At 40.1% G+C, this 24,410-nt stretch overlaps 2 long non-coding RNA genes across 4 annotated transcripts, besides 4 other annotated features; one reads left to right on the forward strand and one right to left on the reverse strand.

Annotated features, from left to right (window-relative positions):
* Positions 8,390–8,891: an enhancer, noted in NCBI's record as "H3K4me1 hESC enhancer chr13:52907715-52908216 (GRCh37/hg19 assembly coordinates)". NCBI's record gives its function as "activates a minimal SCP1, AML or CMV promoter by ChIP-STARR-seq in primed H9 embryonic stem cells {active_cell/tissue: H9 hESC(primed)}" and the evidence as "EXISTENCE:reporter gene assay evidence [ECO:0000049][PMID:30033119]".
* Positions 8,892–9,391: an enhancer, noted in NCBI's record as "H3K4me1 hESC enhancer chr13:52908217-52908716 (GRCh37/hg19 assembly coordinates)". NCBI's record gives its function as "activates a minimal SCP1, AML or CMV promoter by ChIP-STARR-seq in primed H9 embryonic stem cells {active_cell/tissue: H9 hESC(primed)}" and the evidence as "EXISTENCE:reporter gene assay evidence [ECO:0000049][PMID:30033119]".
* LINC02333 (long intergenic non-protein coding RNA 2333) lies at positions 9,105–16,693 on the forward strand. Its single transcript, NR_120400.1, has 3 exons — positions 9,105–9,187; positions 15,703–15,867; positions 16,103–16,693. It is a non-coding gene; the product is annotated as a long intergenic non-protein coding RNA 2333 (long non-coding RNA).
* Positions 16,694–19,380: 2,687 nt separating this feature from the next.
* On the reverse strand, positions 19,381–23,514 carry LOC105370207 (uncharacterized). Of its 3 annotated transcripts, XR_001749879.2 has the most exons (4): positions 23,085–23,514; positions 20,306–20,348; positions 20,035–20,110; positions 19,381–19,470 (listed from the first exon to the last, which is right to left on the reverse strand). It is a non-coding gene; the product is annotated as an uncharacterized LOC105370207 (long non-coding RNA). The 3 variants fall into 3 exon arrangements; XR_007063810.1 differs by lacking the exon at positions 20,306–20,348; XR_007063809.1 differs by lacking the exon at positions 23,085–23,514 and having other exon boundaries at positions 20,306–21,737.
* Positions 23,064–24,263: an enhancer, noted in NCBI's record as "CDK7 strongly-dependent group 2 enhancer chr13:52922389-52923588 (GRCh37/hg19 assembly coordinates)". NCBI's record gives its function as "activates an origin of replication core promoter dependent on BRD2, BRD4, P300/CBP, MED14 and CDK7 cofactors, with strong dependence on CDK7, by STARR-seq in HCT116 cells {active_cell/tissue: HCT116}" and the evidence as "EXISTENCE:reporter gene assay evidence [ECO:0000049][PMID:35650434]".
* Positions 23,914–24,043: a silencer, noted in NCBI's record as "silent region_5383". NCBI's record gives its function as "represses an Ori minimal core promoter by ATAC-STARR-seq in GM12878 lymphoblastoid cells {active_cell/tissue: GM12878}" and the evidence as "EXISTENCE:reporter gene assay evidence [ECO:0000049][PMID:35858748]".

A 24,410-nucleotide genomic window follows, 5' to 3' on the forward strand; every position in this document is an offset into this window, starting at 1 on the left:
GTTCTCATGATGAAGGCTGAAGAAAATTTCCTCAGGTTCTTTAGGCAAGGAAAAGGGAAAAGCAACCATTTCAAAATATACCCTAGTTGGTGGATAGAGTGAGTGGGTACAGCAACCATTTTGAAATATGCCCAGAGCATTCTATTCTCTGTGTGAAAGCCCTGCCCTAAAGAAAAACTGCTTTATCAGGGCCTTGTCTGACATAGGGGAAAAGCAGTAAGACAACTCTAAACCCCTCTAGTTTTCCTGTCCCACATAAAAGGAGAGGAAAAAAAGAAATCATTACTAAGTCAGTATCAGAAAAATTTACACCTATGTTTTTGTCTAAGAGTACGGTTTGGGATCTTACATTTAGATATTTCTTCCATTTGAGGCTGATTTTTCTGTATGATGTGAGGAAGAGATCTAACTTCATTCATTTGTATGTGGATATCCAGTTGTTCCAGCACCACTTGCTGAAGAGACTGTTCTTTTCCACTGAATGGCCTTGATACCCTTGGGGAAAATCAATTGACCTTAAATGTATGAATTTACTTCTGGACTCTCAATTCTATTCCATTGATCTACATGTCTATCCTTATTCCAGTACTACACAATTTTAACCACTATAAGTAAGTTTTGAAATAATAAAGTGTGGACTCTGCAACTTCATTGTTCTTCTTCAAGATCATTTTGCTTCTTCGGAGTCCCTTGCATTTTCAAATGAATTTTAGGATCAGCAAGTCAATTTCTGCAAAACAGAAGCTAGGATTCTGATAGGAACTGAGTTGAATATGTAGATCAATTTGTGGAGTACTGTCATCTTAACAGTAATGTCTTCCATTCAATAAATCCAGAATGTGTATCTATTTATTTAGGTCTTTACTTAATCACTTTCAATAATGTTTTGTAGTCTTACATTTCTTTTGTTTTAGTCTTATTTTTTAATGCTATTGTAAATAAAATTACTTTCTTAATTTCATTTTCAGGCTACTCATTGCTAGTGTTTCTAAATATAACTGACTTTTTGCACATTGATTTTATATCTTTTGTGAACTCAATTGTTGCTCCGAGAGGTTTGTTGTTGTTATCGTTGTTGTGGGTTCCTTAGATTTTCTATATACAACATTATTTATCTGCAAAAAATACAGTTTCACTTTTTCCATTCCAATCTAGATGCTTTTTCTTTTTTGTTGTTGGTTTTGTTTTGGTTTTTTTGTCTAATTATCCTGGCTAGAACCTCCAGTACAATGTTGAATAGAAAAAGCAAGAGCAGGCATCCTTGGCTTGTTCCTCATCTTAGGAGAAAAGCTTTAAGACTTTCACCACTAAGTTTAATGGTAGCCATTGGTTTTCCATCACCACTCAACCAGGTATATAAGAAATATGTAAGGGAGTCCTACAGCTGGAAGCAAAAGGATGATATCTACCATCACAGAAACACATGAAAGTATAAAACCCACTGGTAGAGCAAGCACACAAATAAGAAGAACAATTCAAAAGTTATCACTAAAGAAAACCACCAATCCACAATGATCAACAATAAGAGAGAAAGAAAGGGACAAAGGACACATAAAGCAACCAGAAATCAATTAATAAAATGACAGGAATAACCCTCACATATCAAAAATAGTCTTCAATGTAAATGGATTAAACTTTCCACTGAAAAGACATAGACTGGCTGAATGGATTTAAAAAATAAACATGACCCAAATATATGCCAACTGCAAGAAACTCACCTCACCTGTGGAGACACACAGACTGAAAGGAAAGGACTGGAAAAAGATATTCTGTGCAAAGGGAAACCAAAAGTGATCAGGAGCAGCTATACTTATATCAGATAAAACAGACTTTAAGTCAAAAACAGTAAAAAGAGGCCAGGCACAGTGGCTCACGCCTGTAATCCCAACACTTTGGGAGGCTGAGGCGGGTAGATCACAAGGCCAGGAGTTCGAGACCAGCCTGGCCAACATGGTGAAACCCCATCTCTACCAAAAATACAAAAAATTAGCTGGGCATGGTGGCAGGCACCTGTAATCCCAGCTACTCAGGAGGCTGAGGCAGGAAAATCGCTTGAACCCAGGAGGCGGAGGTTGCAGTGAGCCGAGACCACACCACTGCACTCCAGCGTGGGCAACACAGCAAGACTCCATCTCAAAAACAAACAAACAAACAAAACAGTAAAAAGAGACAAAGATGGTCACTACAGAATGACATGGAGATACATTAGCAAGAGGATGTAACAGTTCTAAACATATATGCACTCAATACTGGGATACCCAGATATATAAAGCAAATGTCATTAGATCTAAAGGGAGAGATAGACTGCAATAATAGATGAGGACTTCAACACTCTACTCAGCATTAGACAGATCATCTAAACAGGAAATTAACAAAGAAACACTGATTTTAAACTGTGCTTTAGAACAAATGGATCTAACAGACATTTATAGACCATTTCATTCAACAGTTACAGAATACACATACCTCTTCACCAGCACATGAAACATTCTCCAAGATAGACCATATGTTAGGACATAGAATAAGTCTCAACAAATTTTCAAAAATCAAAATCATACCAGTATCTTCTCAGACCACAGTGACATAGGATAGGAAATCAATAACAAAGAAACTTTGGAATCTGTACAAATACGTGGAAATTAAACAACATGCTCCTGAATGACCTTTAGCTCAAGGAAGACATTAAAGAGGAAATCAAAAAATGTCTTGAAACAGGCTGGGTGTGGTGGCTCATGCCTGTAATCCTAGTACTTTGGGAGGCCAAGGTGGGTGGATTGCTTGAGCCCAGGAGTTTGAGACTGGCCTGGGCAACATAGTGAGATTCTGTCTCTACAAAAAAATACAAAAGTTAGCCAGGTATGCTAGTGTGTGCCTGTAATCTCAGCTACTCAGAAGGCTCAGGCAGAAGGATTGCTTGAGCCCAGGAGGTGGAAGTTCCAGTGAGCCAAGATCGTGCCACTGCATTCCAGCCTGAGTGATAGAGAGAGAGAGAGACCCTGTCTCAAAAAATGAAATGTCTTGAAACAAATGAAAATTGAAAACAACATAACAAAACCTACGGGATACAACAAAAGCAGTGCTAGGAGGGAAGTTTATAGCAATAAACACCTATATTTTAAAAGTAGAAAGATTTCAAATAAACTAATGATAACTTCAAAGAACTAGAAAAGCAAGAACAAAGCAAACCTCAAATTAGTAGAAGGACAGACATAATAAAGATCAGAGCAGAACTAAATGAAATAGATTTCAAAAACAATATAAAGAATCAATGAAACAAAAAGTTCCTTTTTCAAAAAGGTAAGCAAAATCAATAAACGGCTAGTTAGACTAAACAAGAAAATGAAAAAGATGATCCAAATAAACAAAATCCAAGATGAAAAATAAGACATTGCCAGACACGGTGGCTAATGCCTGTAATCCCAGCATTTCTGAGAGGCTGAGGCAGGTGGATTGCTTGAGCTCAGGAGTATGAGACAAACCTGGGCAACATGGCGAAACTCTGTCTCTAAAAAAAAAATACAATAATTAGCTGGGCATGGTGGCATATGTTTGTAGTCCCAGCTACTCAGAAGTCTGAGGTGGGAAGATCTCGTCGGCCCAGGAGCTTGAGGCTGCAGTGAGTCATGATCACACCACTGCACTCCAGCCTGGGTGACAGAGTGAGACCGTGTGTCAAAAAATAAAGAAATAAATAAATGAATAAAAGTAGACATTACAACTGACACCACAGAAATACCAAAAGTCATCAGACAGTATTATGAACAACTATATATTAATAAACTAGAAAACTTAGAGGAAATGCATAAATTCCTTGACACATATAACCTACCATGATTGAATCAGGAATAAATAGAAAACCTGAAGAGACCAATCATGAGTAATGAAATTGAATCCATAATAAAAAAGAATCCAAACAGTGAAAAGCCCAGGACCCAATGGCTTCACTGCTAATGACTTCACTACCAAATTCTACCAAACTTACAAAGACAAACTAACACCAATTCTCCTCAAACTAGTCCAAAAAACTGAAAAGGAGGGAATTCTTCCTCATTCTACTAGGCTAGCAGTACCCTGATACCAAAACCAGATAAGAATGCAACAACAAAAAAAAGACAGTTACACTCTAATATCCCTGATAAACATAGATGTAAAAATCCTCAACAAAATACTAACCAACTGAATCCAACAGCATATCAACAAGATAACATACCAGGATCAGGTGGGATTTGTCCCAGAAATGCAAATGTAGTTCAACATACATCAATCAACAAAGATAACACATCACATCAACAGAATGAAGAACAAAACCATATGATCATTTCAAGAGATGTAGAAAAAGGGTTTGATAAAATTCAAAAGATCTTCATGATAAAAACTCTCAACAAACTAGGCATTGAAGGAGCCTATTAATACCTCGACATAATAAAGGCTACATATGACAAACCCACAGTTAACACGATCCTATCGTGGCTTTCAGCTTTTCCTCTAGGAACTGGAACAAGACAAGGATGTCTATTTTTGCCACTCCTATTCAACACAGTACTGGAAGTCTTAGCCAGAGCAATCAGACAATAGAAACAAATAAAAGACATCCAAATTGGAAAAGAGGAAGTAAAATTGTCCCTCTTTGTAGATGACATGATCTTGTATCTAGAAAAACCTAAAGACTCCACCAAAAACTCTTAGATCTGATAAGTAAGTTCAGTAAAGTTATAGGATACAGCCAGGTGCAGTGGCTCATGCCTGTAATCCCAGCACTTTCAGAAACCGAGGCAGGAGAATCACCCGAGGTCAGGAGTTCAAGACCAGCCTGACCAATATGGTGAAACCCCGTCCCTACTAAAAACACAAAAATTAGCCAGGCGTGGTTGCGTGCGCCCATAGTTCCAGCTACTCAGGAGACTGAGACAGGAGAATGGCTTTAACCCGGGAGGCGGACACTGCAGTGGGCCAAGATGGCACCACTGCACTCCAGCCTGGACTACAGAGCAAGACTCCATTCAAAAAAAAAAAAAGTTGTAGGATACAAAGTCAACATAATACAAAAATTAGTATCATTTCTATACACCAATAATAAACTAGCTGAGAAAGAAATCAAGAAGGAAATCCCATTTATCATAGCTCAAGAAAATAAAATACCTAGGAAAAAAATTTAACCAAGTAGGTGAAAAACCTCTACAAGGAAAACTACAGAACATTGATGAAAGCAATTGAGAAGGACATAAAGAAATGGAACGACAACTCATGCTCATGGATCAGAAAAAAATCAATATTGTTAAAATGACCATACAACCCACAGCAATACACAGATGCAATAAAATCCCTATCAACATACCAGTGTCATTCTTCACAGAAGTAGAAAAAATAATCCTAAAATTCATATGGAACCAAAAAAGAGCTCGAATAGAGAAGCAATCCTAAGTAAAAAGAAAGCTGGAGACATTACACTATCTGACTTCAACATATATTACAAGGCTCTAGTGACCAAAACGGCATAGTATTGGTATAAAAACAGGTATAAAATGAAACAGAATAGAAAACTCAGAAATAGATCCATACATTTACAGCCAACTGATTTTCAACAAAGGTGTCAAGGACACTCATTGGGGAAAGGACATCCTCTTCAATAAATGGTACTAGGAAAATTGGATATCCATATGTATGCAAAAGAACACGACTAACCTCCTACCTTTCGCGATACACAAAAATCAATTCAAGATGGATTAAAGACTTAAGCATAAGCCCCGAAACCATAAAACTACCAGAAGAAAACTTAAGGGAACGACTTCAGGACACTGGTCTAGGAAAAGATTTTATGGCTGAGACTTCAAAAGCACGGCAACAAAAACAAAAGTAGACAAATTGGACTATATTAAACTAAAAAGCTTCTGCACATCAGAGGAAACAGCAGAGTGAAGAGACAACCTGTTGAATGGGAGAAAATATTTGCAAACTATTCATCCAACAAGGAATTAATATCTAGAATACACGAGAAACTCAAACACCTCAACAGTAAAAAATAATAATCATTCCATTTAAAAGTGGGAAAAGGGTCAGGCATGATGGCTCATGCCTGTAATCCTAACACTTTGGGAGGCTGATGCAGGTGGACTGCCTGAGCCCAGGAGTTTGAGACCACCTTGGGTAACATAGTAAAACCCCGTCTCTACAAAAACATACAAAAATTAGGCTGGGTTTGGTGGCTCATGCCTGTAATCCCAGCACCTGGGGAGGCCGAGGCAGTAGGATTGCTTGAGCCCAAGAGTTCAAGCCCAGCCTGGGCAACATAGTGAGACCTCATCTCTACAAAAATCAAAAAACGAGGTGGGAGGATCACTTGAGCCCAGGAGATTGAGGCTAGAATGAGCAGTGATAGCACCACTGCACTCCCATCCTGTCTCCAAAAAAAAACAAATACAAAAACAAAAACAAAAAGCACACACACACATACAAATTAGCTGGGCACAGTGGGACGTGCCTGTGGTCTCAGCTACTCTGGAGGCTGAAGCAGGAGAATCATCTGAGACCAGGAAGTGGAGGCTGCAGTGACTCGTGATTGCACCACTGCACTCCATCCTGGACAACAGAGCAAAACCCTGACTCCAATAAATGAATGAACGAATGTGGGCAAAGGACATAAATAGATATTTCTCCAAAGAAGACACACAGGTATATGAAAAAATGCTCGACGTCACTAATAATAAGGGAAATGAAAATTAAAACCACAATGAGATATCATCTTCACCCAATGAGAACGGCTATGATTAAAAAGACAAAATAATAATGGATGTGGGCGAGGATGCAGAGAAAGGGGAACTCTTACACACCGTTGTGTGGGAATGTAAATGAGTACAGTCACTATGGAAAACAGTATGGAGATTTCTCAGGAAACTGAAAATAGAGCTACCATACAATCCAGCAATGCCACTACTGGCTGTTTATCTAAAGGAAAAAAACCAGTATATCAAAGGGATGATACCTGTACTTCCATGTTTACCGCAGCACTATTCACAAGCAAAAATATAGAATCTGCCTAAGTGTCCATCAACAGACAAATGGATAAAGAAAATGCGATATATATAATCAAGTACTATTCAGCCATAAAAAAAGAATGAAATCATGTCGTTTGCAGCAACCTGGATGGAACTGGAAGTCATTGTTACGTGAAGTAAGCCAGGCACAGAGAGACAAATATTGCATGTTATCACATACGTAGGAGCTAAAAAAGTTGACGGTGGACAGATAGATACCAGAGGCTAGGAAGGGTGTGTGGGTTGGCAGGGAAGAGTGGTTGGTTAATACAGTTAGATAGAAGGAGTTAAGTTCTAATGTTCTATAGCAGAGTAGGGTGACTACAGTGAACAACAATGTATTGTATATTTCAAAATAGCTGTAAGAGAAGACTTGAAATGTTCCCAACATATGGCAATGACAAATACTCAAAGTGACAGATACCTTAAATACCCTGATTGATCATTACATATTCTATGCATGTAACAACATATCACATGTACATGTGTACCACACAAATATGTACAAATATTTGTTGTGTACCAATTAAAAATAAACAAAACTTGAAAAATACATTATATCTACACAATGAAATATTATTCAGCATTAAGACACTGCAAGTTGGATGAACCTTGAAAACATGCTACATGAAAGAGTGCATAAAAGATCACAAATTGGGCTGAGCGTGGTGGCTCACGCCTGTAATCCCAGCACTTTGGAAGACCAAGGCGGGCGCATCGCTTGAGCTCAGGACTTCCAGAGCAGCCTGGGCAACATGACGAAGGCCGTCTCTACAAAGAAATTAGGCAGGCGTGGTGGTGCGCGCCTGTGGTCCCAGCTACTGGCTACTCACCAGGGTGATACAGGAGGATCACTTGAGCCTTTCCTGCCTGCTTCGCTGAAGGCATCATGCACTTTCACGGCTGGGATCAACTCTTCTGGAAGCAGGTCCTAGCAGGACTGTGGGTGTCCACATCCAGGATTAGGGTCCTGCATAGAGCTTGGAATACTTACCCCTCAATCTGGGGGGAGGAGCAGGGGCTGGCGCCTTAAGGACTTACTGTCCTTCTGACCAATCCTGATGTTTCCAAGGCACTGGGGTTTTCAGGACTGGATAAGACTGTTCTAAGGCCACAGTGTGGCAACTGCAGTGTGGCAACTGCAGCAAGTCAGAGGCCAAATCCTCAACTCTGGCACTGTCTAAAGTGCCTTTCTTGGCACTTTCTGGTGAGGTGGCTCACACCTATAATCCCAACACTTTGGGAGGCCAAGGCGGGTGGATTAGTGGAGATCAGGAGTTCGAGACCAGCCTGGCCAACATGATGAAACCCCGTCTCTACCAAAAATGCAAAAATTAGCCAGGCATGGTGGCGCGCGCCTGTCATCCCAGCTACCCGGGAGGGTGACGCAGGAGAATCGCTTGAACCCGGGAGGCAGAGCTTGTAGTGAGCCGAGATCGCACCACTGCACTCCAGCCTGGGCGACAGAACAAGACTCCGTCTCAAAATAATAATAATAATCATGATTCTAAAAATCAAATAAATCGAGTGCCTTTCTTGCCCATTCCATGTCTCACCACAACTCTATTAAGCAGGTATTAATGGCTCTCCATGGCTATAATAGAGGAACTCTGGGCCTTATATTCCACCCCTCGCCCAACCCGTGACAGCCAGTGACTAGCGGAGGTTCAATAAACAGTAGTCGGTCTTATTACTATCTTATTACCAGTCTCTCCGTGGAGTTCCAGCAAGAAGGGGTTCCACACCTCGTTGGGGACCAGCTCCCGAGCAGGGCTCCGAGCACCCTCTTGAGGCAGTGACGCGAGGGCCTGCGGGGGCTCCGAGGCTCCTCCAGGCCTCGTGGGCCCTCACAGAAATGGCAGGGCATTGGGACAAGCTGCTCCGGCTGCGCAGGCCGAAAGGTCCCTCGAGCATCCAGAAAGCTCGCCTGACCCTTATAGGCGAGGTGAGGCCCCCAACTCATATCCTGGGGAAACCATGGAGGGGGAATTCGGTTTCCACAGGCGAAGTCAACCGAAACGGCCCGCCATGTTGAAGCCTGAGCAGAGCTCCCGTCAGGCCCCGCCCCCCGGCGCCAGGCTCGCTGGGCAGCGCCTCCTCCCGGAGGTCCCTCCGCTGGTTCCTTCATTCCGCTGGTTCCTTCATTTCGCTGAATGGTGAGTGAGCCAAGCACAAGCTGAACTGCGGGCAGGCAGTGAGCAGATACACAGGGGCCCCGAACTCAAGATAAATAAATGAATAAATACTCAAACTTGTTCTTATAACCCAAGGCAACTGATAGGCCCATTTAGGCTCTGGCTTCCAGTGACAATGAGTTCTAGATGACAAGTCTCAGAAGGAAGAGCCCCTCTCCTTGTCTGCGCTCCTGCCCTAAGCACGAAGACTCAGCTTTGGTCCTCACAGATAATCATTGCCATTCACCATTGGTGATTAACTCAGTCATCACTCTGGAGATTCCAAGGACTTCAGGAGCTGTGTGTCAGGAACTAAGGACAAGGACCAAATGTTATTTTTTATTATAATATCAACAGCCAAAAATTTCAACACCTTTTGAATTTCAACATCTTTTGAAAAAGATGGGAGATGAATACTCTCATCTTTTACCACTGAGTTCTGATGCCATGTCTGTCATTTATATTTCCATATGTGATTTGGGCTCTTTCTAGGCCCTCTTTCATTTCATTAGCTTATACATCTATCTCTGCACCAATACTACACTGTTTAACTTAACTTTTTAATAATTATTTAAATCTGGGAGAACAAGTCTCCCACTTTGGTGCTTTATTTTTAAACATAGGCTCTTCCTCATGAATTGTGACATTAGCTAGTTCAGTATTGTAAAAAAATCCTCTTGAGTTTGTATTGGAATTGCATCAAGTTTATGGATTAATTTTGGGAGAATTGACATCTTCATGATTCCATAATGATTATGTTGTTATTTTTAGTAGTGTTGCTTTTAAAATTATGTTTTCTGAGTTGTTGTTGCTGGTATATAGAAATGCAATCCTTTTTTGTATATCAATTCTGCATTCGGAAAACTTGTTGCACTCTTTTATTAACTTTGTCTATAGATTGTCCAAGAGAGGCAGCAAAGTGTGATGGTAAACAGTAGACAGCCCCTTCTACTTTCTTTATTTTGTTGCCCTTTATCTAACATCTTAAATTGAATACTTAACTCAATAAGTAGTCTTTATTCCTTTTCAATGCCAGCATCTGAAAAAAATAAATGCTTCTCTAATTACTTTATCTAGTGTGTTGAGGGACCCAATGCCGCCACCGTATTCAATAAGGAGCTAGAAGGACTCACAGAACTTAGACAAGCTGTTCTATTCACCGTTATGGTTTATTACGATGAAAGGCTATAGAATACATTCGGAAGGAAAAAGGCACTTAGGGCAGAGTCCAGGCAGAACCAGGAGCAGCTTCCAGTTGTCTTCTCCCTGTGGAGTTATATGAACAGAACTTAATTCTCCCAGCAATGACGTGTGACAATATGGACAAAGAATTGTCAACCAGGGATGCTCACACAAACTTTTGTGTCCAAGGTCAGCTGCCTAGGCATGAAGCCCCCCAACTATTGACCCTAAATACGCAGTGTCCAACCCATTCCTCCCTATGAAGTCAAACTCATACAATACGACCCAGGGCTCCAGGCAAGCAAAAACAGGTGTTCACCATAAATTACATTATTAGCACAAACTCTGGCATTGCCCAAGGCCCGAGGTATACAAAGACACTCTTATCAGGCAGGATATTTCAAGAGCTAATAGTTGGTCAAGAGTCAGTCTTTTCTTTGAGGCATGCAATCCCATTGCTGCTGAGTCAACCCTTTACTATTCACTTATATTTTATGAGTTCGATTTATACTTCTATTGTTAATTTTATTTCTAAGTCTATAAAGTATATTTTTTACCTTTTAAAAAATATAAACGATAGATACTATATAATATTATACAACTCCTACACATTGCTTTTGTCACTTGAAGTTGTTCCATATTTGTAAAATAATTGTTTTTTATTCTTTTGGATGGCTGCATTTTATTTACCAATTTTCTATTGATAGATATTAGGATTTTTTGGTCCAATTTTTTGCTACTCAAAATAAGATTAATAACGTGTGTGTGTGTGTGTGTGTGTAATTTTACTTATGTTCTAACATATTTGTAAGATATATTCCCAAAGTAAAATTATTGGATTAAATGATATGCTCAGATGGTATATTCATCTGTAATATTAATAGATCTTGCCTTTCAGTAAACTGTTGCCCATAAAGATTTCACCAACTTTTATTCACTAGCAATGTAAGAAACTACCTGTTTCCCCATACTCTTGACAACTAAGTGTATTTTAAAATACTTTTATAATACCTGGTGTACTCCAGCACTACAGGAATAATATATTTGTAGCTTTCATTTTTATTTTATTCATCATGAGTAAGGTTGAGCATCTTTTCACATGTTTGAGTCTTTTTTTTTGTTTGTTTGGAGACAGAATCTTGCTCTGTCACCCAGGCTGGAGTGCAGTGAGGTGATCTTGGCTCACTGCAACCTCTGCCTCCCGGGTTCAAGCCATTCTCCTGCCTCAGCCTCCCAAGTAGCTGGGACTACGGACCTGTGCCGCCGCGCCCAGCTAACTGTTGTATTTTTAGTAGAGACGGGGTTTTGCCATGTTGGTCAGGCTGCTCTCGAACTCCTCGGTCTCCCAAAGTGCTGGGATTACAGGGACGAGCCACTGCACCTGGCCTTGAGTCACTTTTATTTCTTTTCAATGAACTGTTTGTGTATACTTTTTGTCCATGTTTCTGGTGGCTTATTCATGTTTTCCTTATTGATCTGAAAGAGCTCTTTTACACTGGTGATGTTAGCTGTCTATATGCATTATGAATTGGAAATATTTTTCCCAATTTGTTATCTAACTTTTTATTTATTGTGGATTTTGCCACACATTTTTAAACAATTTAATTCATCAGTCTTCTAGTTTTAGGAGGTCTTTTGCTATATTGTGCTTTTTAAAAAAACTGTAAAGTTATAAAAATTATTCTCAATGTTTCTTTGACTCATTTTATTGTTTTATTTTAAAATTTAAATCTTTTGGGCCTGGCACAGTGGCTCACACCTGTAATCCTAATGCTTTGAGAGGCTGAGATTGGAGGAGTTTGAGACCAGCCTAGGCAACAGAGTGAGACCCAGTTTCTAGAAAAAAAAAAAAAAAACCTAACAATTATCCAGGTAGCCAGGTATGGTGATGCACACCTGTAGTCCCAGCTACTCAGCAGACTGAGGAGAGAGGATCACTTGAGTCCAGGAGTTCAAGGCTGTAGTGAGTCTCTGGACTCCAGCAGCCTGGATGACAGCGTAAGACCCTGTCTCTTAAAAAAAAATAAGAATCTTTTATTCATCTGAAATATACCTTGGTGTAAGATATAAAGTAGAGCTAAACTAATTTTTGTTCCAAATGGCTACTCATTTATCCCAACACCATTTGTTGAATTTTCTATTTATCACTAAATTGAAAAGCCACCTTTATCTTTGTGTAAAGTGCCACATGTATTAGGATCTATTTATAGACATTCAGTTCTGTTTCACTGATCAGTCTATTTAATCACGCTTTTTTTTTTTTTTTGAGACAGAGTCTCGCTCTGGAATGCAGTGGTGCGATCTCAGCTCACTGCAACCTCTGCCTCCCAAGTTCAAGCAATTCTCCTGCCTCAGCCTCCTGAGTAGCTGGGATTACAGGCATGCATCACCACACCCAGTTAATTTTGGTATTTTTAGTAGAGATGGGGTTTCACCGTGGTGGTCAGGCTGGTCTCGAACTCCTGACCTTGTGATCTGCCTGCCTCAGCCTCCCAAAGTGCTGGAATTGCAGGCGTGAGCCACTGTGTCCAGCCTTAATCACACTTTTTATGGTGTGGAGAGGTAGGCGACAAAGGCCAGCATTGACTTCTTTGAGGTGTAAAATTTTGGTTGAGGTATAACAAACATACAGAAAAGTGCACAAATCACAAGTATAAAGTTCAATGAGCATTCACAGTGTAAATACACAGTACAGTATGTACTCAGCACTCATAACCAGTACTCAGACCAAAGAGCAAAACATTACCAGTACCTAGAAGTCTCCTTCTAGTTACCGCCCTCCTGAGGCTAACCACTGCCTGACTCACTTCTGATTTCTAATAGGATAATTCATTTAGGAGTTGAATTATTCAGTATACTCTTCTCTACCTTCTTTCCCTCAATATTACACTTATGGGATGCAGCCACTTTGATGCATATAGTTGTAGTTCGTTCAAACTCATTGCTGTAGAGTTTCCCACTGTATAAATGTAACATGTTGTATTTATTCATTCTACTGCTAATGAACATTTGGGAATTATTGATTTTTTGCTATTAAGAATAGTGCTTATGTGAACATTTATACATATTGTTTCATGAACTTGTGTTCATGTTTCTGTTGGATGTGGAGTTAGGAGTGGAATTACTGGACCAGAGGGTATACATATGTTCAGCCTAAATAATCAAACGGTTCTTCCAAAGTGATCATGCCAGTGTCAGAGTTTCCAGTACTCCACATCCCGGCTCACACTTGGTATTTGTAGCAGAAGATGTCGGTGGCCATCCATTTCCACTCAAGCTTCCCTATTTCAGTTCACACCTGCACCTTAATCTCTGCCTGAGGGTTTCCCTGGCCATCAGAACCTTCTAGGTCCTCACTCAAAACAGGCCAGAAGGGAAGGGGATTAATAAGCCCTGAGCAGAGATCTCAACCAATGACTGATGCGCCGTGGTTTATGCATACCCTAGCTCCCTTGACCTTGGGACAGGAAGACTCTGAAGCACATGCTCTACACTTGCTGTCAGAGCTCTGCAGTGGGAGAAAGCTCTAGCTGGCACTGGTGATGACATGCTTGATAATATAGCTGGTATCTGTGGCCTTCCCCTCCCTGTCTGTTTTCCACTTCCCTGCAGGTATTTTAAATCCTTGTCTCACAGAGTTCACTTCTGTGGGAATCCAAACTAAGGACAATCTATTTTTCTTTATTTTGGCTATGGTGGAGCCGGGGGTGATTAGAGGGAGAATATGTCTTAAAACACTCCTAATGGGGGATGGTGATAATGCAAGAACAGTTGAGAAAAACTGGCTTAGATATACGATTCGTATCAATTTTATTTTTGTGTATAGTGTAAGGGGAGGGGTCCGGTTTCTTTATTTCTTTTCTATTTTGCATATGTTTATCCAATTGGAAAAGCACCATCTATTGGAAAGACTTTTTCCCCCATTGAACTAATTGCCTTAACACCATGTCAGTAATAATTGACTATGTATATATATGGGCATATATATATATAATATGTGTATAGTCTGGTCTTTGTTCTATTAGCTTGTTGGCTTCTTTATCAATTATTATGCTAACACCATACCATATGGATTACTACACCTCTACAGTAAGACTTTTTTTTTTGAGGGTCTCACTCTGTTACCCAACAAACTTGATTCTTCCAACCCATAAACATGGCATATTTTTTCATTTATATGGGTTTATGATTTTTTAATAAATAGGTCTATGTATTTGATGTTATTGCAAATGGTCCTTTTTATTTCATTTCTCAATTGTCTCTTGCTAGTATATAGAAATACAATTGATATATATACATATATATGGGCATCATTCTGGTTTCTATTCTGTTCTGTTGGCTTCTTTGTCTATTATTATGCTAATATCATACCTATAGATTACTATACCTCTATAGTAAGACTTTTTTTTTTTGAGACAGGGTCTCAGTCTGTCACTCAGGCTGGAATGCAGTGGCACCATCTCGGGTCCCTGCAACCCCTGCCTCCTGGGCTTAAGCGATTCTCTCACCTAAGCCTCCCTGGTAGCTGGGATTACAGGCTCACGCCACCACACTGTGCTAATTTTTGTATTTTTAGTAGAGATGAGGTTTCACTGTGTTGGCCAGGCTGGTCTCAAACTCCTGAGCTCAAGTGATCTCCCCACCTTGGCCTCCGAAAGTGCTGGGATCACAGGCGTGAGCCACTGTGCCCAGCCTTTAGTAAGTCTTAAATAATGCCGGGCATGGTGGCTCATGCCGGTAATCCCAGCACTTTGGGAGGCCAAGGCGGGTGGATCAGCTGAGATCGAGAGATCAAGACCATCCTGGCCAATATGGTGAAACCCCATCTTGAACTCCTGGGCTTAAGCAATCTGCCTGCCTCAGCCTCCAACAGTGCTGGGATTATAGGCATGAGCCCCCATGCCCTGGAACTTTCTTAAATCCTCATATGAAAGCATTATAATTTACTTCTTTTTTATGCTTCCAGACTTTCTCCACTCTTTCATATTCAATATTCTTTTATCGGCATAATACACCTTATTATATTTATGCATGCGTATTTATTTTTAACTGAATAATGTGCTTGTTATATTGCTTAAAGTTTTTTTAAAAAACTAGTTTTAGAACATAAATTATTTTTATTGTTGTGTATTATAGGATAATGCTCATAATATTTAATCATTAAACTTGGCCTTTATAAAAAATAAAGTATCACACTTAGATAAGCATGTATAAGTAGAACAAACATGAAGCTTATATAGTAACTATATTTCTTTATTTTATTTTCCCTTTGTTTTTTTTACACATTCTTAAATACAAGTGCTTTGTTTCTATAGGAGATATTCTCAACATGGGATGTGCATCTAAGTTATGAAGCATAACAATTAAATAACATCCATAAACCCATGACCTCATGCAGAATGAAACATTTCTAGTCCCGTGGAAGCTACAGGACTGCTGGAATTTCTTCTCTGATCCAGTCCCCTTGCTTCGCAACAGAGGTGACCACTCTTCTGAAGGTTATGTTCATAATCCCTGTGCTTTTCTTTATAGTCTAGATATGTATCTATGTATAGACAGGGGAGATGTAGATGTAAATATAGATATATCTGAAAATATATTACTTTGTGACAGTTATTTTTAAGCTTTATACAAATGGATATCGTGCTGAAGTGGTATTTACCTTGAAGCACACTGTGATCATGACATATTTTGATGTTCACTTCCCATGTTTAGGTTCCTGCTTCTCCACGCCAATGACATGGTGAGAGAATAGAGGGGAAGCTGAAGACAAACAACATAAACTTATGTTTGAAAAGCACCTTTTACTCTATGAAATAAAGTGAGTGTAAGCAGTAAATGGAACAACAAGCTTTCAGAGTCACTGCAGGGCAAGAGCTGGGGAGGGAAGAGCTGGCTGGTCATGGAGGATGCACTGGAGTGAAAAAACATCACTCAATTGGCCAGGACATTCCAGGACATCAGGGAGACCACACAACAGCTAGAGTGTCTCTTTTCATCCAAATGACCGCAACACCTCTCCAGCAAGGGCACAGAACTGGGCTGAGGCTGAGTATTGCTGAGGCAATACCATTTAGAACATAGGCACAGGTAAGGATTTCATGACAAAAACGCCAAAAGCAATTGCAACCAAAGCAAAAATTGATAAATGGGATCTAATTGAACCTAAGAGCCTCTGCATAGCAAAAGAAACTATCATCAGAGTGAACAGAGAGCCTACAGAATGGGAGACAATTTTTGCGATCTGTCTGTCTGACAAAGGCCTAATATCCAGAATCTATAAGGAACTTAAACAAATTTACAAGGAAAAAAACAAACAACCCCATTAAAAAGTAGGCAAAGAACATGAACAGACACTTCTCAAAAGAAGGCATTCATGTGGCCAACAAACATATGAAAAAAAAGCTTAACATCACTGATCTTTAGAGAAAGGCAAATCAAAACCACAATGAGATATCATCTCATGCCAGTCAGAATGGCAATTATTAAAAAGTCCAGAAACAACAGATACTGGCAAGGTTGCAGAGAAAAAGGAAAGCTTTTACACTGTCGATGGGAATGTAAATTAGTTCAACCCTTGTGGAAGACAGTATGGCAATTCCTCAAAGATCTAAAGGCAGGAATAGCATTTGACGCAGCAATCCCATTACTGGGTATATACCCAAAGGAATATAAATCATTCTGTCATAAATATACATGCACCTGTATGTTTATTGCAACACTATTCACAATGGCAAAGACATGGAATCAACCCAAATGCCTATCAATAATAAACTGGATAAAGACAATGTGGTACACATACACCATGGAATACTATGCAGCCATAAAAAGGAATGAGATCATGTCCTTTGTAGGGACACAGATGGAGCTGGAAGCTGTTATCTTCAGCAAACTAACAGAGGAACAGAAAACAAAACAACACATGTTCTCACTTATAAGTGGGCGCTGAATGGTGAGATCACATGGACACATGGCAGGGAACAAAACACACTGAGGCCTGTTGCGGGGAGGGCCTGATGCAGGGAGGGAGAGCATCAGGAAGAACAGATAATGGATGCTGGGCTTAATACCAAGGTGATGGGTTGATCTGTGCAGCAAACCACCATGGCACACATTTACCAATGTAACGAAACTGCACATCCTGCACATGTACTCCAGAACTTAAAATAAATGTTGAAGGAAACAAAAACAAAAAAGAGGCCGGACGCAGGAGCTCACCCCTGTAATCCCAGCACATTAGGAGACCAAGGTGGATTGTTCACGAGGTCAGGAGTTTGAGACCAGCCTGACCAACATGGTGAAACCCCATCTCTACTAAAAATACAAAAATTAGCCAGGCACGGTGGGGGGCACCTGTAATCCCAGCTACTCAGGAGGCTGAGGCAGGAGAATCACTTGAACCCGGGAGGCGGAGGTTGCAGTGAGCCGAGATCGCGCCATTGCACTTCAGCCTGGGTGACAGAGTGAGACTCCATCTCAAAACAAAACAAAACAAAAAGCAAAAATAGAAAATCCTTTATAAATATTTGTTAAATTGGTAGGATTGTTAGCATAATTTACAAAAATTTTATTCATATTATTCTATAACATATCTAAATAACATTCATGTTAACAAATATCAATGGTTCTTTGATTTAAAAGTGGTGAAAAACAAGCTAATCGTAAGTTTTCTATACACCCATATATTTTCCAATAGCATGACACTGTCCAGATATTTAGAAATAGGCTATCCGGAAAAGAAAGAACTTGCTGAACTCCAGAAAATATAAAGTAGATACAATTCAAGGTTTTTGAACCTTGGAAAAGGAAGGATAATTTTCTATAAATAATTTTTTCACAACTGTGTTTCTTATATTCATACCCGGGTATCTTAATTGGTGTATTACCAATTTGCTTCACTAGATGGAGATATGAGGCCCAATAACTATAAATTTCTTCAAAAATGAAGCATAACTCTTGATATTTTGAAAAACATAATTTATTTGTAGAAGAGAAACTACAGCTTGTAAGACTCTTCTTAAGGGAGACGATCTTCCATGTAATACATTGTTGGCCCCAGGGAGAAACGTTTGCTGGGATTGATGGTGAGTAGTTTACTAGTTAATATTTCATCAGTGTACTGAGTAGATTTTTTCATTTATTCACCCACTTATATGTTCCTTTTTTTTTCTTTTGAGATGGAGTCTTGCTCTGTCGCCCAGGCTGGAGTGCAGTGGCGTCATCTCGGATCACTGCAAGCTCCGCCTCCCGGGTTCAAGTGATTCTCCTGCCTCAGCCTCCAAGTAGCTGGGACTACAGGCGCCCCCCCCCACCCCCACCACAGCCCGGCTAAGTTTTTGTATTTTTAGTAGAGACGGGGTTTCACCGTGTTAGCCAAGATGGTCTCGATCTCCTGACCTCGTGATCCGCCTACCTCGGCCTCCCAAAGTGCTGGGATTACAGGCGTGAGCCACAACCCTCCACCTATATGTTCATTTTTTTATTCATTGACCAAACACTTAGTTTGCCCGACACTGTTAGGCATTGGGATACAAAAATAAGGACACAATCCCCACTCCTCAAGAAGCTCACAGTCTCCGTCAAGTAGGGGAGAAAAGTATGTAAACTATTAATTAGAATACGTTCAGGGCAGAATTATAGAATGGGTTAACACAAGGTTTGCTGGCTGCACGAAGAGAGAAACAGCTGGCTCTTATTGAGTAAGAGAACATGCTTAGGATGAGTTTCAAGGGGTGAATAATTCAGAGGCAGTCCAGAATGAGAATAAGACTATAGCAGTCCAGACAACACTTGGTGAGGGAGTTCGCTTGAAGGAAACAAAAACAAAACCAAAAATAAGGCCGGGCGCTGAGGCTCACGCCTATAATCCCAACACTTTGGGAGGCCGAGGAGGGCGGTTCACGAGGTCAGGGGTTTGAGACCTTCCTGACCAACATGGTGAAACCCCAACTCTACTAAAAATACAAAAATTAGCTGGGCGAGGTGGCACGCACCTGTAATCCCAGCTATTCAGGAGGCTGAGGCAGGAGAATCTCTTGAACCCGGGAGGCAGAGGTTGCAGTGAGCTGAGATCAGGTGGGTACCTGTGGGAATAGAAAGGAGGAGATGAGTGCACAAGATGTAGAGAAGGTAGAATACGTTAGACTTAATGGCTCAATGATTGTTGGAATCAAACGGGAGGAGGAAATTTTCTAGATAGTTTGAAAAAAGCACTGTGGAAGTCAGGATAAAAATTCAACATGACTAGGAGAAATTGAAAATAATTTTTGTTTTTTGAGACGGAGTCTCGCTCTGTTGCCCAAGGGGGAGTGCAGTGGCGCCATCTTGGCTCATTGCAAGCTCCACCTCCCAGGTTCACGCCATTCTGCCTCAGCCTCCCAAGTAGCTGGGACTACAGGTGCTCGCCACCAAGCTCAGCTAAGTTCTTTTGTATTTTTAGTAGAGACGGGGTTTCACAGTGTTAGCCAGGATGGTCTTGATCTCCTGACCTTGTGATCCACCCGTCTTGGCCTCCCAAAATGCAGGTGTGAGCCACCCACCTCTTCCCGGCTGAAAATAATTTTAATAAGCCACCTCTATTCATATCTTAAATTGTAAACTGCCTTCCCACTCCCTTTTCTTGAGATCTCACCCCATTTTCTGCTTACTCTGGCATGTAGACATATTCTTCCTGCCGAATGAGTCAGTCTCAGTCTAGATTTGTGCTGACATGTCTTAAATTTCCTGTAAAAATAAGAAACTAGTACATTATCTCTCTCTCTTTCCCCCTTTTCCTCTATCTCTGTCAAAGACACACACCATGCACATACATGCACACACACTGACAAGGATATAGAAAAAGTATAGTGTCATCTTTATAGAAAATGTATGGAATTACTGTGCATAAAGCAGAGAAACAATCCTGTACTCATAACATACCCCAGGAAACTGTGCAGTTGTTACTCTCGAGTGTTCTTGGATTCTGAAATGGAAGATAGGACTTACTGCAGACATTTCATACTCATCTATTTGGAATAGTTCTTCTAGGTTTTTTTTTTTTGTAAAGTCCTATTATTTATGGAAAGATTGGAAATCTAGAGTTTTTTGTTTGTTTCCAGTCTTTCTCTTAATTTCCGTGAATTTAACTCGGTTCTTATCTAACATTCATGTGTTTAATTTTATTCATCCCTAACACAGGGCATATAATAATACACACCCAGTGAGTGTGTGAGACTCATGGAGAAGCAGGTTTGCCATGACCCCATAAACCAGCCCAGACAGCTGACAGAGGCAACTTGAGGTGGGGGGAGAGAGAGAAGAAAAGTTGAAGTCACAGAGAGCACTTTCCCTACAGGCAGAGTCAAAAGAGGCAGAAAAATGTAAACTTCAAAAATTCTGGACTTGCTTTTAAAAGCTTTGTGTTTTTTATTTGCATAGTGATGAAGAAAAAAGAATTTAGCTGTGCATATTTGAGTTCCATCTAGAGATTCTCCCAGCCTCCCTATCCATCTCGTCATCTGTATCCACATCATCTCTGTTTACATCTATACCCTTGTCTACGCTTTAATCTACTTCCATTAGCTTCTCATCTTCCTCATGTCTGGATCATGCTGGTGGTACAAATAGGGTGGACAGAGGAGCACTGGGAGTAACATAAACTATGTTTGACGACTGGAACAAGCTCAACAAGTACAGACTCCACCTGTCTTTGCAGTATATTTTTGAAAAACTTTGTACAGGGTTCAAGTCTAAATTGTTTCAGATATAACGTGAGCCAATGGAAGGAGCACAAGAGGTTTACATTAGAAGGTCTTGGTTCATAGAGTTCCTTGGAAAAGTGGTTGATTCCAGGTCTGGGTCAGGGAAAATCTAATTGAGCATGAAAATCTTGTGATATCAGAAAATAAAGAAGGACTCAAAACAACAACAGCTACTCCCCAATGACAGAGTCAAAAGGATGAAGAGCCCACCATTGGAGTTTCCAATGGCCAAAGTCGGAACAGTTTGACCAAGAAAATAATGACAATATTTGATTCTAAACTAGTGGAATAAAATAAATATCCATCAGTCCATATATATCAGCATAAATAAATAAGTGAATGAATAAATACATAAATAAATGGGGGAGAAGTGATACTTCTACCTTACAGGAGAATTGTAATTAATGAATGCAGGAGAAATGAGGAAAATACAAAGTCACTGTTGGGTGGACAGCACAATAATAATTGTTGCAGACAAGATCTACTGGTAGTCTAAAATCATTGGGTGAAAGTTTGAGGTAAAACAGGATATTAGCATAGTCTCAGTGTATCTCCTCCAAGATATCTGTCAATCACAAAAGAAAACATAGTAGGTGTACAGTGGAGAGACCTGCCAGATGCCAGTGTTTTTTTTTAAATCTTTTTTTTTTTTTTTTTTTTTTTTTGAGACAGAGTCTCACTCATCGCCCAGGCTGGAGTGCAGTGGCAACATCTTGGCTCACTACAATCTCTGCCTCCTGGTTCAAGCGATTCTTCTGCCTCGACCTCCCGAGTAGCTGGGATTACAGGCATTTGCCACCATGCCCAGCTAATTGTTTTGTATTTTTAATAGAGATGGGGTTTCATCACGTTGGTCAGGCTGGTCTTTAACTCCTGACCTCAGGTGATCCACCCACCCCGGCCTCCCAAAATGCTGACCCTGACTCTTCAAAAGGGTCAAGGTCATAGAAGGCAGAGTGTGAGACAATCTCTCAGATTGGAGAAGTCGGACAAGTGGTACCTAAATGCAACATGGGATTCTGAATCAGAACATACAGAAAAAAAAAAAAAAGACACAAGGGAGAAAACTCATAAAATTCAAATTAGGTCTGTAATTTAATAGTATTGTACCAGTGTGAATTAAGTTAATTTTCTGGTTTTGATCATTTAACTATGGCTGCATAATTATTAACATTAGGGAAAGCTGGGTGAAGGTTATACATAAAGTCTCTGCACTATTTTTGTAACTTTTCCATAAGTCTCACGTTATTTAAAATTTTAAGTTTTATTTTTTAAGACCTTGGCTCGAGTCTGAGCTCTAACACTTATTAGCTCTGTAACCTTTCTGGGGCTCAATTTTCTTACTAAACAGTGAGTTAGGATGGACGACCCTTCGGCTCCTTCTGGAGAGCTATGGAGAGGTTCTCTTACCCACAATGTTTGCCTTCCTTTACTTCAGCAAGCTACACAGTCACTGATCAGCAGTTGTGGAAATGCAGAATCTTGAAAATTGTCATGAAATTTTATTTACAGGTATTAATAATTTATCTCTGAGGTTCAACTTTCCACCTAAATGCAGAGTGATGCAGGACTGTAGAATTATTCCCAGCTTGTTGGGTGTTAGAAGCTGCTTTAACAGATATTATGCCAACAGAAAATTCACCTAAAAGTCTTGTTAAAGAGAGTGTTTAGACTAGAAGAAAACACAAAAATACAATATCACCTACTAAAGAGTAGTGGAATTATGAGTGGTCATTTTGTTTCAAAGTTTCCTTAATCTTATCGTTGTCTTTTTAGGATTAAAAATATGTTTACCAAAAAAATGCTTGTACTTGGAATAGATAGACGTATTGTTGAAACTTACCAGCTCTCTGATCCTAGCAACCAGGAAGAATATCCCGGGAATGCTTTGGCAGTTAAAAAATAAATCAGCTTGGCAGTGATCACTTCCCTTGATACCCTCCCACACGCCCACATACACATTTCTCTTGACCACTACGGACATTCCAGGCTCTCTCCTTCCAACAGCATCTGCCTCCCTGTGAGAATTCTTCCATGGGGCCTTCATCCCTGCAGAAACACAGCATCTAATTAAAATAGAAATCTGAGTTCAGGGATGCAATACCTCAAACTAGGAGGGTTCTCCTTTTCATTAGGCTATCTAATTTCAGCAAGATTTTCTTTAGTCTTTAAAATCAGAAGACCTCTTCCTCTTGGCCATTCCACCTTTTTCTCTTATTTCAAAATTCTACTTATCATGCTTCTTCTTCAACACAACAAAGTGTCTTTAATACTTTACCTCTCCTTGTACAGTGTTTGTTATAGGAAGTTTAGTTTTTTTCTTTTATTTTTTCAAGTTTACTGGAAAATTTCTATGATCAAATCTTCAGAGAGCTGAGCTGAGTGTGGTGGCTTGGGCCTGTAGTCCTAGCTAACTGGGAGGCTGAGACAGGAGGATTGCTTAAACCCAGGAATTCGAGGCTGCAGGGGGCTATGATCTACCACTGCATTCCAGGCTGGGTGACAAAGTGAGACCTCATCTCTTAAAACAACCAAACAAAAAAATTGGCCCAGCATGGTGGCTTATTCCTGCAATCCTAGTGCTTTGGGACGCCGAGGTAGGAGGATCACTTAAGGCCAGGAGTTCAAGACCAGCCTGGCCAATATAGTGAGACCCTGTCTCTAAAAAATATAAAAACTGAAAACAAAAATAAATATAGAGTAGAAATAATCCAGAAAACTCTCTGAGAGCCCCTTTAGAATGGTTTGCTTTCAGAAGAACTAGCAAGACCTTTTTACGACCTCACCCTATGAAGTGCTCACACCCACGTGACTCAAGGAAAGCACATGCTCTCTGAATTACTCAGCATCATTATAGCAATAAGAGAATGACACGTGGGCAGTAATGGTGCTAAGTCATTACCTGTTGGTACTGCATGACTCGCTTTAGTTGCCTAAAGCTCCACATAGTTGTTTAATGTCAGTCATTTTCTTGAAGGTTGCTCTTTTACCACCAGTGCCAGGCTCTACCATGGAGTGGCTTTAATTGTTGCCTGGATTAATCCAGATAGCTGATGTTTTAGCCCTTTGAGCACCAAAACAAAAATATTTTCTAAACTGTTCTCTGTGGAATTTTCATGTATTTATCCTTCCTCACATTTAAAATAGAGTATATTACATTTAATTTAACATTTCTGGATGAGTCCTATTATAAAGTGTGATGCCCTTTGTCTAGAAAAATATATAGCCATGTCTGATTCATGGCTCAATTATTCTAGGCCCACACTCTTTTTTAATTCTTAGGT

The sequence above is a fragment of the Homo sapiens genome, chromosome 13, assembly GCF_000001405.40.
Source record: "Homo sapiens chromosome 13, GRCh38.p14 Primary Assembly".
Taxonomy (NCBI): domain Eukaryota; kingdom Metazoa; phylum Chordata; class Mammalia; order Primates; family Hominidae; genus Homo; species Homo sapiens.